The sequence below is a fragment of the Homo sapiens genome, chromosome 11 (assembly GCF_000001405.40).
Source record: "Homo sapiens chromosome 11, GRCh38.p14 Primary Assembly".
NCBI classification, from domain to species: Eukaryota; Metazoa; Chordata; class Mammalia; order Primates; family Hominidae; genus Homo; species Homo sapiens.
Window position 1 is genome coordinate 78239957 of NC_000011.10, and position 14654 is coordinate 78254610.

Genomic DNA, 14654 nt, shown 5'->3' on the forward strand with positions numbered 1-14654 from the left:
TGCTAGCCCAGTGGCCCAACATTCCAAAGCTGAGCTGTGAGCAGCTGTTACACCCTTCCCAGGGGGGTCAAGCAGAAGTAAAGCTAATCCACCTGCCCCTCTCCCCACTCCCTTGGGCCAGAGCTGAAGCAGTATGCTCTCTTCAAGGAAAACAGTATCTTGGCTGCTCAGAACAGTCATGCCTCCACAGTGCCTAAGCTGAAGCCAGTGGCTGCATCCTAGGAAACGGTGCACTGACTCCCCAGAATGAGGTACCCCAGTAGCTAAAATAATATGGTTCCCTGCATTCCAGGGAAAGGATGCCTGGGCTACTCAGAACAGTCACACCCTCCTGGGCCTGAGCTGAAGTAGCACACTGTCCCCTGGGGAATGGGTGCCCTAGCTGAGCTGAGAGGGGGTGCATTCCAAGGCTGAGCTGATACAGGACCCTGTGTTTCAGGGAAAAAGAGCAGTGTCTGAGCTGAGACACCCTGCCCTACAGGCCAAACAACTCTAGTGCCTTGCTTTCCTGGAGCTGCACTAGCCCCCTAGAGTCTGAGCTGTTGAGATACGCCTCTCCCTGGGGAGTAGAGTCATTGCTCTGCTGTTCCCTGCCCCTCTGTAGCCCAAAACACAGCTATACTCTGCCATTCCCGGGTATTTGCTAAGCCTAAAGAGGGACCATGTAGAGTCACTGCTACATGGTGTATCAATCCCTGGGACCCAAGTTGCCATTGAGCCTTATTGACTCAGGTTCCCAAATTCTAGTTGTATCCTCCTCCCTGAAACCAAACCTCCAGAACATCCCTTCTTGCCCAGGGTGAGGCCAGTGCTGTGCTCTGCCTACCAGGGGTAGAATCACAGCTGGCCCCTGACCTGAGCTGATAGAGGGTTCAACAGAGTCATATCATAGATCCTGGCCCGGAGGGCAGTCCACATCCAACCATGCTACGGAGAGTGAACCTGCACCCCAAGACCCAGCTGCCACAATAGGTTCATGAGACTCTGAGCTTAGAAACCCAACGCCACATAAGCTCCAAGCACCAGTACCTAGAACCCAGCACTGCTGCAGCTACTTGTAGGCCATGCCAGACCTGACACTAAGAGGGATCCCCCTGACTGAGTCTCCTCATTTGGGGAAAATGAGAAGAGAAAGACCCAAAAAGCCCTTTACGCTAAGGATATTAACAACCTATGCTACCACCGCTGCTGCACAAACTTCTATAGTCTAGGCCACTGAGGCACTCCCAGTTATTGTTGATGTTGAACATAGGCAAAGAAGCTGCATGGAGACTATACCATTGCACCTAAGTGGAAACACAGTCATCACATCCTTCTCAACTGGAACACTAAAACCCAACTGCAGGTGAAAGTCTTTCTCTAAGAAATCCACTCCAGAAAGTCTGGAAGAGGTGATCTTTCCACCAGAAGCATGGACACTTAACATGAGGACACAAGAAACACAAAAAAGGAAGGAAATATAACACCAAAAAAGCACCAAAGGAACTCTGGCTAGTAACTAGAGCCCAGTGAAAAGGAGATCAACAAATTACAGAAAGGGAATTCAAAATAATGACCTTAAGAAAACTCAATGAGGTACAAGAAAACACACACAATTCAAAGAAATTAGGAAAAAGAATTCACAATATGAACAAAAAAATTCAAAAAAGAGAAAGAAAAAAAAAAACCCAGAAATCTTGCAGCTGAAGAATTCAATGAATGAAATAAAAAACACAACAGAGAGCTTCAACAGCAAACTTGATCAATTAGAAGAAAGAATATCTGAACTTGAAGAAAGGTAGTTTGAAATTACCCAGCCAGAAGGAAAGGGGGAATACAAATGAAAAGAGTGAAGAAAACCTGCAAGACTTATGGAACACCATTAAGATCTACAGGGAGAGACAGACTCTAATATAATCATAGTTGGAGACTTCAACACCTCACTCTCAGCATGGACAGATCACCTAGACAGAAAATCAACAGGGAAACAATTAGATTTAAACTGCGCTTTAGATCAAATGGACCTAACAACACTTCATCCAACAGCTGCAGAGTATAATTCTTCTCATTAGCACATGTGACATTCTATAGGACAGACCTCATGTTAGGCCAAGAGATTTTAAAAGAATTGATATCACATCAAGCATCTTTTCTAACCACAATGGAATAAAACTAGAAATCAGTAACAAGAGGAAATTTCAAAATTGTACAAATACATGGAAAATTAAACAACATGCTCTTGAATGATTTAATGGGTCAATGAAAAAATTAAGAATGAAATTTAGAGCCGGGTGTGGTGGCTCATGCCTGTAATCCCAGCACTTTGAGAGGCCAAGGTGGGCGGATCACGAGGTCAGGAGATCGAGACCAACCTGGCTAACACGGTGAAACCCCATCTCTACTAAAAATACAAAAAATTAGCTGGGTGTGGTGGCGGGCACCTGTAGTCCCAGCTACACAGGAGGTTGAGGCAGGAGAATGGTGTGAACCTGGGAGGCAGAGCTTGCAGTGAGCCGAGATCATGCCACTGCACTCCAGCCTGGGCGACAGAGCGAGACTCCGTCTCAAAACAAAAAAAAAAGAAAAAGAATGAAATTTAGAAATGTCTGGAAACAAATGAAAATAGAAACACAACATACCAAAGCCTATGGAATACAGCAAAAGCAGTATTAATAGAGAAGTTTATGGCAATAAATGCTAATACCAAAAAAGTAGAAAATTTTCAAATAAACATCCTAATGATGCATCTCAAGGAAGCAGAAAAACAAGAACCAAACCCAAAATTAGTAAAAGGGGAAAAAAAAGATCAGAGCAGAAATAAAATTGAGACAAAATAAAACTGATCAACAAAATGAAGTTAATTTTTTCAAAGAATAAACAAAATCAAACCAGTAGCAAGACTGACCAAGAAAAAACGGGAAAAGATCCAAATAAATACAAAATCAGTCTGGGTGTGGTGGCTCATGCCTGTAATCCCAGCACTTTGGGAGGCTGAGGCGGACAGATCACTTGAGATCAGGAGTTCGAGACCAGCCTGGCCAACATGGTGAAACTCCGTCTCTACTAAAAATACAAATATTAGTGGGCATGGTGGCACACGCCTGTAATCCCAGCTACTCGGGTGGCTAAGGCATGAAAATCGCTGGAACCTGGGAGGCGGAGGTTGCAGTAAGCTGAGATCACACCACCGTACTCTCCAGTATGGGCGACAGAGTGAGACTCTGTCTAGAAAAAAAAAAAGAAAAAAAAAGGCTGGGCATGGTGGCTCATGCCTGTAATCTCAGCACTTTGGGAGGCAGAGGCAAGTGGACTGCTTGAGGTCAGGAGTTAGAGACCAACCTGGCCAACATGGCAAAACTTTGTCTCTACTAAAAATAGAAAAATTAGCCAGGAGTGGTGGTGGGCGCCTGTAGTCCCAGCTACCCGGGAGGCTGAGGCATGAGAATCACTTGAACCCAGGAGGTGGAGGTTGCAGTGAGCCAAAATCGCGCAGCTGCACACCAGCCTGGGTGACACAGCGAGACTCCGTCTCAAAATAGATAAAGGAATAAAATAAAAAAGAAAAAGGAGACATTGTAACTGACAGCATAGAAATGCAAAAAGGATCATTAAAGATGATTATGGACCAGGTGCAGTGGCTCATGCCTGTAATCCCAGCACTTTGGGAGGCCGAGGCGGGCAGATCACGAGGTCAGGGGATCGAGACCATCCTGGCTCACATGGTGAAACCCTGTCTCTACTAAAAATACAAAAAAAAAATTAGCTGGGCACAGTGGCACGTGCCTGTAGTCCCAGCTACTTGGGAGGCTGAGGCAGGAGAATCACTTGAACCCGGGAGGCGGAGGTTGTAGTGAGCTGAGATCGCGCCACTGCACTCCAGCCTGGAGGACAGAGCAAGACTCTGTCTCAGAAAAAGAAAAAAGAAAAAAGATGATTATGAACTATACACCAACAAATTAGAAATCCTAACAGAAATGGATAAATTCCTGGACAAACACAACTTACCAAGATTGAACCCAAAAGAAATAGAAAATCTGAACAGACTAATTATGAGTAATGAGATGGAATTTGCAAAAAAAAGTCTCCCATCAAAAGCAAAAACAAAAAAGGGCCCAGCTAAGACCTCAGAAGCACCATCAAAAACAAAAAATAGACAAATGGCTGGGTGTGCTGGCTCACATCTGTAATCCCAGCACTTTAGGAGGCCAAGATGGGCAGATTCAAGATGGGCAGATTCCTTGAGGTCAGGAGTTCAAGACCAGCCTGGCTAATGTGGTAAAATCCTGTCTCTATTAAAAATAGAAAAATTGGCCAGGCATGGTGGTACATGACTGTGGTTCCAGCTGCTCAAAAGGCTAAGCCAGGAGAGTCATTTGACCCTGGGAGGCAGAAGTTGCAGTGAGCCAAGATCGCACCATTGCACTCCAGCCTGTACGACAGAGGGAGATTCTGTCTCAAAAGAAAGAAAAAAAAAAGACAAATGGGACTATATTAAACTAAAAATCTTCTGCACAGCAAAGGGAAACAATCAACAGAGTAAAGAGACAACCTACTGAATGGGAGAAAGCCATTCTGCAAGCTATTCATCTGATGGAAGGTTGATATCCAGCATATACAAGGAACTCAAACAACTCAACAGCAAAAAAAAACAAATAATGGAGTTGAGGCAAATTAGCTGAAAATAGTTATCTTTCAAACGAAGACAGAAAAACAGCCAACATTCATAGTAAAAAAAAAAAAAAAAAAAAAAAGCTTGCCGTCTCACTAATCAGCAGGGAAATGCAAATCAAAACCACAATGAGATATTATCTCACCCCAGTTGGGATGGCTATTTTCCAGAAGAAAAATAACAGATGCCAGTGAGGATGTGGAGAAAAGGGAACTCTTACACACTGTTGGTGGGAATGTAAATTAGTACAGTCGTTATGGAAAACAGTATGAAAGTTCCTCAAAAAACTAACAATAGAACTACCTTATGATCCAGCAATCCCATTACTGGGTATATATCTGAAGGAAAGGAAATCAGTATGTTAAAGAGCTATTTGCACCCCTATGTTTATTGCATCATTAGTCACGATAGCCAAGATAATGGAATCAACCTAAGTGGTCATCAACAGATAAATGGATAAAGAAAATGTAGTATGAGTCCATGTATATGAGGCATCTAGAGAAGTCAGACTCACACAGACAGAAAGTAGAATGGTGGTTTTCAGGGCCTGAGGGAAGGGGAAATGGGGAGTTGTTGAATGGTTAGAATTTCAGTTTGGTAAGATGAAAAGATTTCTGGAGATTGATTATATAACAATATGAATGTACTTTACTGAACTGTGCACTTAAAAATGGTTAAGATGATATATTTATGCTATGTATTTACTACAATTTTTGAAAAGAAAAAATCATTCAGAGGAAGGAAAATACATATAGAATAATAAAAATTAAAATAACTGCTGATCTCTCATCAGAAACAATGAAGGTCAGAAGACTAGAATGGTATCCTTTAAATGCTGAAAGAAAACAGAACTGTCATTCTGGAATTCTATACCTAGCAAAATCTCTCTCAAAACTGAAGGTGAAATTAAGAAATTTCCAGATAAATGAAAGCTGGGAAAATTTCTCACCAGGCCACTCACATGGCAAGAAATGGCAAAGGGAGCTCTTCATACTAAAGAGTAAGAAAACCAGGTGAAAACCTCACTAGACATTGTTTGAGTTTTGCTTCTAACACTTATACATATTTTAAAGAAGTTAAAACGGAAAAATAATCTTTCACAGTTATGCAGGGATTTACTATTTCTGTTGCTCTTCCTTCATTCCTGAAAATTCAAGTTTCCTTCTAGTACCATCTTGCTTCAGCCTGAGGAAATTTCTTATCAGTTTTTAAAAGCAGATCTCTTGGAAATGCTCTTATTTTTCCTTTATCTGAGAACGTCTTAATTTTGTTTACATTCCCAAAGGATACTTTTGCCGAATATAAACTCCTTGGTTGGCAGAGGGTTTTTTTATTTTCTTTTTTTCTTTTTTTTTTTTGAGACGGAGTTTTGCTCTTCTCGCCCAGGCTGGAGTGCAATGGCGCAACCTCCGCCTCCAGGGTTCAAGCGATTCTCCTGCCTCAGCCTCCCAAGTAGCTGGGATTACAGGCGCCCACCACCATGCCTGGCTAATTTTTTTGTATTTTTAGTAGAGACGGGGTTTCACCATGTTGGCCAGGCTGGTCTCGAACTCCTGACCTCAGATGACTCACCTGCCTCGGGCTCCCAAAGTGCTGGGATTACAGGTGTGAGCCACAGTGTCCGGTGGCAGAGGGTTTTTTCTTTCCATTAGTTTCAAGTGTGTTTTCCTTTATTACATGGAATGTTGTTTTCACAGGAGCTTTGAAATCTGTGTCTGATAATTCCAACATCTGGGTTATTTTGAGGTTTGTACCTGTGACTTCCATTGAGAATGGGTTATATTTTTCTGGTTTTCAATATGCTGAGACATTTTGGATTACAGATCCTGAATGCTGTGAACATGATGTTGTGTAGATGCTGGGTTCTGTTATAATCCCATGGAGAAGTGCTATTTTTTTGTTTGTTTGTTTTGAGACAGGGTCTCACTCAGTTGCCCAGGCTGGAGTGCAGTGGCGTGATCTCGGCCCACTGCAACCTCCACCTCCTGGCTTCAAGCGATTCTCCTGCCTCAGCCACCTGAGTAGCTGGGATTACAGGGGCCCACTACCAAGCCCAGCTAATTTTTGTATTTTTAGTAGAGATGGGGTTTCACCATGTTGGCCAGTCTGATCTTCAACTCCTGACCTCAGGTGATCTGCCCACCTCAGCCTCCCAAAGTGCTAGAATTATAGGCGTGAGCCACCGCACCCGGCCGAGAAGTGATATTTTTATAGGAAATCAACCTGGTTAGGCTCAGACTGCAAGTTCTGTCTCTCCTCCTGTGTATGGTAGTTCAAATCTTCTTTCAGTTCACATAGGCTTTGTTGCACTCGATTCGGTTTGTCCCACACATGTGTAGCCCAAGGTGATCCTAAGACTCACATAGTTTCATTCCCAGAGTTAGAAGATCCCTTCTCCAGCTCTCTTCATTCTGGAATATACTAGCTCCTTCCAGCCCCAATGGGGCTCCTCTTCTGGTTCCCCTACTCAGAAAGATGGGGTTTTTTATGACATTTTAGCCATTTGCACTGTGCTACTTTGTGATGGGGCCCAACCTGGAGGCAAATGCATGAAAGACAAAAAGTTCATCTCTGTGTAGTCACTTCTACAAGTTCTTCTCCTCTTTACAATCTATCTCCTTTTATTTATTTTTCAGAGTCTTTGGGTATTGCACTTTGGATTTTGTCCAGAGTTTTTAGTTGTAATCAGTGGGAAGGAAAGCCTGTGGTGGCTTCCACCACCATAGTGGAACTGGAACTACCCAATTCTTTTTCGGTTTCTACATCCATCCTAAAATCCACCATCTCTTCACCTATTATATCCTTTACCCACAATAGATTAAAAAATTAACATAATTATTTTAAAGTCTTGTAGGCTGGGTCCAAAATATGGGTTTATTTTGATCTCTTTCTAGATACTGAGTTCTCTCAACTATGGGTTAATGTATACGGTTTCTTCATATGTCTGGCATTTTCTCATTGTATACTGAATATTCTCGACGATATATTATTGGAACATCATAGGAAAAGCCATGTAAACTGAATTTCACTTCTTTCAAGAGTCAGATCTCTTGCAGTTTCTGCCTTTTTTATTGCTCTTCAGGGCCTTAAAAAAGTTATTTTTTAATATTTTGTCCAGAGTTTATAATTATTACAGTAGGTTTAGCATGATGCGAGCAACTCCACTACTACAAGAAAATATATCGTCTTTCTGGATTTAAGAAAGCTTCCTTCCTACCCTCCCAACTTCCTTTGGAATTCTGCAAACATTATTTGAACTTATTTTCTCCAAAAGTCTCCCTGAGATCCTGCTCATTACCCTCTCATTCCCTCATCCACACAAGTGAAAACCATGACAGAGAAGAACATGACTTGGTCAAAGGCCTACAACAATGTGACTTCCTCAGCTGCGTAAAGTTCTATCTCTTCTACTAGCTTATCCCTCTACAACATGGATTTGTTCAAATTATTATGCACCTACTGTGAGCTCCATCATCAAATAATAGTAATGTATTAATATAAAAATCCATTCTACAAGGCAGAAAGTTCCAAATGTTGTGAGAGAGAGAGAGAGAATAAAAAACTGCTGTGGCAATTCAGAGAAAAAGTGAATTCCAGGTAGGAAGATTAATAGGGATTTCACAGAGGAGGTAGGGGTGCAGAGAGTGGGCCCTAAAGGCTAATTCAAGCAGAGATGTTTCTACGTTTGTTCTCTGATGCGTCAGCAGGATCACTGGAGTGGTGGTGGCGGCAATTGTTACTACTATATAAAGCCTTCTACTTAGTGTGAGCTGTAGACAATCTGTGCTGGTATCATCTGGAGTTTATTAGAAAGGACCCCAGGACCTAGGCCAGGCTTACTGAGTCAGAGTGAGCATTTCAGTAAGATCTTCAGGTATTTCATATGCATGTTAAAGTCTGCAAGGCACTACAGCTAAGTACTTTGCCTTTCACTACAACTATGATTTTAAGACCTCACCTTATCTGCTCCCAGGCAGTTGTCTATGTAGTAGAAGAGGATGGGGCATAGGAAGAACAGGTAAAATGTATTTACTCTCTACTACTATTTTATGTATGTTTTATCATTTTACACTCATTAGTAAGCCTTTGAATTAGTTATTCCCATTCTGAAGATAAGAATATTGAAGGTTAATTAGGTTAAATAATTGGCCCAAGATCACAAAGAAAGTAAAAGAACCTGAATTTGAACCCATATCCGACTGACTCCAAAGCCTGAACATGCTTTTCATTATACCACACTGCCTATCTCTGGTTAGTGATTCGGGAGAATCAGGTACTATTTACAGTTAACGCCACTAACTAGTTCAGTGACCTTGGCTAACTCACTCTATCTTTTTAGGACTCAGCTCTTCATGTATAAGTTGATGGAAGTTGAACTAGTGAAAGTTCACAAACAAATGAATCATGTTCTTCATGAAAATGGGTATCTGAGGCAGCCTTAAGATTAAGTGTTGGAGCCTCTTCTGTGTGACAGCAGATGACTCAGAAAAACAAAAGTAGGGTAGCATAGTGAAAAGAGTACAGGACCAGAAACAAGAAGACCTGGGTTCTAGCCCAACCTCTGCTATTTATTAGTCATGATTCTCAGTTCCTTCATCTTTAAAATGGAGATAAATTTTGTATACTGGCTATTTCTCAGTGTATTGATTGGTTCAAATGAGATTATGTATGAAAATATTCTCAAGGACAAAATCAAGTAATACATTAGTACAGCCATTTTTCTATTTGCCTTAATTGTCATAACATGAATTAGATCTTGTAAGTTAATTAAAATGTGATTTGTAATCTGCTGGCTATGGTAGCAACTGGGAATTAGCTCTGGCAAAGCCTATCAGCTCTGCACTTTTGCTTAGCCTAACAATGGGAATAAAACATAATAAATACATTTACAGGTTCTGCACCTGTGAAAGAGCTGATGATGTTAGAAAAACAAAAGACCATTATCCTAGAACAGGGAGTCCTTGCTCTAGAACTTCGTTATGATGGAAATTTTCTGTATCTGTGCTGTCTGGTACAGTAGCCCCTAGACATATGTGTCTACTGAGGACTTGAAATGTGGCTAGTACAACTAAGGAACTGAATTTTACATTTTATTTCATTTTAATTAATTTAAATTTATGTAGACATATGCAGGTAGTAGCTACTATACAGAACAGTGCAGTTCTAGAGCAAAAGCAAGGTATGGATTTGTTGAACTATGTTATGGTTTTATAGCTATACTTTTAAGCCCAAGTAAATTGACTGTTTTTTTTTGCAATTCGGAAACTGTGTCCCCTAATGCCTTCACCCCTGCCTCCAAATCAAACATTTTTTATAGCATGATTTTTGATAATGAAAAGTTTCTCTGGCACCCAGTTATCACTGTGTAGCAACACAGATGATGCCAATAAAATATGAAGGCTACAGAAGCAAAAAATTATGTTTTGTCATAGACGTGTTTGTCTACCTGAAACGATATAATGTTTTGCTTGTCTTTAAAAAAGCAAGGACTGAAAAGTACTAGGCCCTGTGAGCGGTCACTAACCCACCTAATGGCTGTGGCAGCCTCCTACCTTGCATTTTCTGCTCTTCGGCTTATGCACTGGTGCAAGTAGAGATACTCCTGAGGTGCGCTGGTGGACAAGGTGGGCTGCATGTGGTTTGACACAGGGGGTTCAAACGTGAACAGAGTTGGCTGGCTGGAGTGTGATGGGGCTGAGGACTTGCGCTCTCGGAGAAGGTGCTGGCTAGAGCTGCTGAGCTCAGCTGGAGAAGAGCGGGGGCCATGACCGGCTGAGGAAACATTTCTCAGGGAGTCTGAAAAGGAGAAATAGCTCTGTGAATGAAAAAGGAAGGAAATGTATCCTTATCCCAAAGTGAGTTGTCAGAGGAAGAAAAAAGAGTAAGAGCAGAGAAAATAATCCAGCACTAGCATTCTCTCCCTCTCATATACCTGCCCCTTGCTGCCCTCCTGGCCATCTTGGTTGAAGAAGAGGTCCTCTTTACCTTTGTATGGCTTCTGGGGTAGCCTGGAGGTGACTTCCTATCACAATGTAGGCCATATCTGCCCCACTTCCAGGAAGTACGGCTACCTGTGGTCTAGGAGTGTGACCCTGACCCTCAGGCAAGGTCTGCCTCTAGAGTAATGAGTACGACCACCTTCCCACTCTTTGGTGGCGCCTGCTGTGGTCAAAGGATGAAATCATGTCTTTTGCAGCAACATGAATGCAGCTGAACATCATTATCCCAAGTGAATTAATGCAGAAACAGAAAACCAAATACCCTAATGTTCTCACTTATAAGTTGGAGCTAAACACAGGGTGCACATGGACATAAAGACGGAAACAGTAGACACTGGGGATTATGTTAACAGGGAGGGAGAGAGGGGGACAAGGATTGAACAACTACCTATGGGGTACAATGCTATTTGGGTGATAGGATGAACAGAAGGCCAAACCTCAGCATTAGACAATATACCCATGTAACACACTTGCACATGTACCCTGGCATCTGAAAAACAAGTTGAAATTTAAAAAAAAAATGAAATTTAAACATCTAATTACAGGAAAAAAAAAAGCTAAGGCTGGCTTTGTTAAATGAGGCTTTGCTTACTGAAGACTCATTAATTGAGGCTCTGGACTGTGCCTTACTGCATTAATGAGAAAAGCACAAATGCATTTGGAGCTGTCCCTTAATACTGGACTCCAGCTGCTCCTGCCTGGCCTCCTAAGACCTCCAAGGACAGTTACATTCCCCACTGCCTACCACTCCCTGTCTATTGGTCATTTTCCCTCTTATCTCAAGCTTTTCTCTGTTGTGTTAGTAAGTGAGGTATTAAGGACGGATAATAGCTTATAGTACTACACCCCAAGCCAAGGTCATTATTCATTTGGCTGGCTCTCTAAGCTAGTCCAAATTCCTTAGCATAACATACAAGGCTTTTGACAGTCTGACCTACTTCCTGCTTTTCTCCACCCATAAACAAGGCATATGGAAGCATCATCAGTCCTTGAACACACCAGCCTCTTTTATGATTCTTTGTTTTGGCTTCTGCTGTTCCTTCCACTTGGATTTCACCTCTACTCTACTGGCAAGCTCATATGCAGACTTTTAGACCCTACACAGATATCATATTCTCTCCCAAATCTTCCTGGACTTGCTTCTTCTTCTGTGTGCCAGCAGCACTTGGCCCATGCTCCCATTATATCCATGGTCACTATGCTTCCTTGTCTAACCCATGGCTTTCTGAGAACAGTGACTGTGATGTTGTTACCATTATAGGCCCAGCATTTACCTAATAAAGGCAAGGTACATAGCAGATTCTTAGTTCATGTCTGCGGACTAAGCAAACACAACACATTCATTCAGCACTCAAAAATTCCACTAGTGAAACTTCTTGTTCGAAAGAAATAAAAGTTTAAAGATGTAATCTTAGGCAGTATGATAGCTGGTGGGTTAACGTTGTGGTGGTGTTGATTTTCTAAGGTTATTCAACTCATGTCAAAGGGGACACAGTTCACCTTCTACGCCCTGTCATCTGACCTATCTCAGGCTGTACCCTTCTCATGGTCCTAGGCAGGATCACCAGCTCATTAATGCTCTACAGTATTAATTACTCTCCAGGCATTTCTGCTGCTGGGCAGGACACCTGCCAGTGTACAACAGAAAAAGCTGATGGGCCTCTGGGGAAAAACTTTTCCATTGACAGCTGTATTGACCCCCAAAATTAACTCCCATTACAAGTCTTTCAGTAAACTGGACATTTGTTAACAGAATCGATAGCTCATTACTCCATTAGATTTGCAAGATGAACTCTCTAATAGTGGAGGAGAGAGGGTTTACATTATGGGACAGAGTAGCCACAGGGCCATGGAAAGAATACAAGCTACTGCCTAAGAAGACACAGGGAACCTGCAAAAAGCAAGCCTCTGGTGAGATTCTGTATTCTCTGTTGTCTCGTTGGACTCCTCTTCCTTTGCCTGCCCCTTCAGTGGAGGCATTCCTCAGGGCTCCACTCTAGACCCTCCTATAGCCTCTCTCTCCCGCTGAAGACTCTCCAGCGGGTAATCCTGTCCACTTCCACAGCTTCAGTTACCACCTATGTGCTGACAACTCTCAAATCTTCATCTCTAGCTCAGTTCTCTCTCCGGGACTCCCTGCTATATATCCCTTCACCTGCTGAGCACCTCCCTTCAGACGTCCCACTAGTGGGCCAAACTCAACAATCTAAATTGACCTCTTCATCACTCGTGTTCCCTGTCTCAGTGAGGTCCATCATCACCAGCCAATAAGTTCTCCAAGCCAGAAGTCCAGGCATTATCTATGACTCTTCTGTTTCTCAGCAACCATGTCACGTCATTATGTCACCGTCCCTCTTAAAACTCTTCTGTTATACCTCAGATGACTTACAAATATCTTTCCTTTTTTTTTTTTTTTTTTTTTTGTGAGACAGAGTCTCGCTCTGTCATCCAGGCTTAAATGCAGTGGTACGATCTCGGCTCACCACAACCTCTGCTTCCTGGGTTCAAGTGATACTCCGGCCTCAGCCTCCTGAGTAGCTGCAACTACAGGTGTATGCCATGACGCCCAGCTAATTTTTGTATTTTTAGTAGAGATGGGGTTTCACCATGTTGGCCAGGATGGTCTCGATCACCACTGCCTCAGCCTCTCAAAGTGCTGGGATTACAGGCGTGAGCCACCATGCCCAGTCAAAGCTCTCTTTTTTAGAGACATGGTCTTGCTCTGTTGCTCAGGCTGGAGTGCCATGGTGCAATCATAGCTCACTATAACCTCGAACTCCCGGGCTCAAGCAATCTTCCTGCCTTAGCCTCCGGAATAGCCAGGAATACAGGCATGCACCACCACGCCAGGCCAATTTTTAAATTTTTTTTGTAGAGACAGGATCTCACTATGTTGCCCAGGCTAGTCTTGAACTTCTGGCCTTAATCAATCCTCCTGCCTCAGCCTTCCAAAGGGCTAGGATTACAGGTATAAAGCCCTGCACCCAGCCTCTTTTTTTAAAGACATTTTCCTGTTTCTTTCTTCAACCTTGTTTCTTACCTGTGCTTCCCTGTGTTTCAAATAAAATTCCAGGAAAATACCAATCTTTCTCTCATCACTTTGTACATCAGGCTGTAAACACAGTGATGGCAGAGATTTTGAAATGGTTTTATCCTCATCATTAAGCCCAGTGTGTGACAAAATTCAATAAATACGCGTTGATCAAAAAAAGTACACACCATAAGAAATCATTATTCCTCAGTAACATTCACTGACTCCTTATTGCCTTCAGAATAAAGTCGAGTTTCCTCAGTATTACAATAAACGCCATTGACACAACCTACTTATTCTGCCTTGTCATCAAATGCATCCTTCATGCCCCCTATGTTGAATGCTTTGGCTGTGAGTATGAATAAAAGAGGAGTGACCCATCCTCACCTCTGCAGCCCCTTCCTTGAGCTCAGCCTGTGGAGTCATATCTGTGACTCAGTCTATTTAGCTGCATACTTGGGGAAGTCACTTCACCTCTCAGAGTCTCAGTCTCCTTATTTACAAATCAACATAGGGCAGCTATAAGGATGAAAAGAATGAAATACACATAAGGTCTAGAAAATCTTGAATGTCATAGGTACATGGAACACCTTCTATCACTTATGTACCCCTAGTGCCTAGAACAGCCCCAGCCATGGTATGTATTCAATACACATTTGTTGACTGATCATACTGAAAAAATAAAAGAATTTTCCCTGGCGCAAAAATCCAAATATGTGTGTTTCTTGTGGTCAAAATCAGAGAGGTTTTAAGGTCTGTTAAGAAGATGAAGTAGGGATTAGGATGAATTGGGCCTTCATCCAACAGAAACTTGGATTTCTACTCTACCAGCACAAAGTCATGTCAATGAAACTAGCCAGCTCCATCTAATGATCTATAGCTTAGCTGGGTGCAATAGCTCATGCTTGTAATCCCAACGCTTTGGGAGGCCAAGACAGGAGGGTTGCTTGAGGTCAGGAGTTTGAGACCAGCCTGG

General features: G+C 42.4%; 1 protein-coding gene across 5 annotated transcripts in view; it reads right to left on the bottom strand.

Moving 5' to 3' along the window:
- Positions 1-14654, bottom strand: part of GAB2 (GRB2 associated binding protein 2) — a 202528-nt gene that overhangs the window by 24664 nt on the left and 163210 nt on the right. For all 5 annotated transcript variants that reach the window (NM_080491.3, XM_024448782.2, NM_012296.4 and 2 more), the window contains exon 3: positions 10201-10444. In NM_080491.3, coding sequence (NP_536739.1) covers positions 10201-10444 — 244 coding nt within the window. The remainder of the gene's footprint in view (positions 1-10200; positions 10445-14654) is intronic.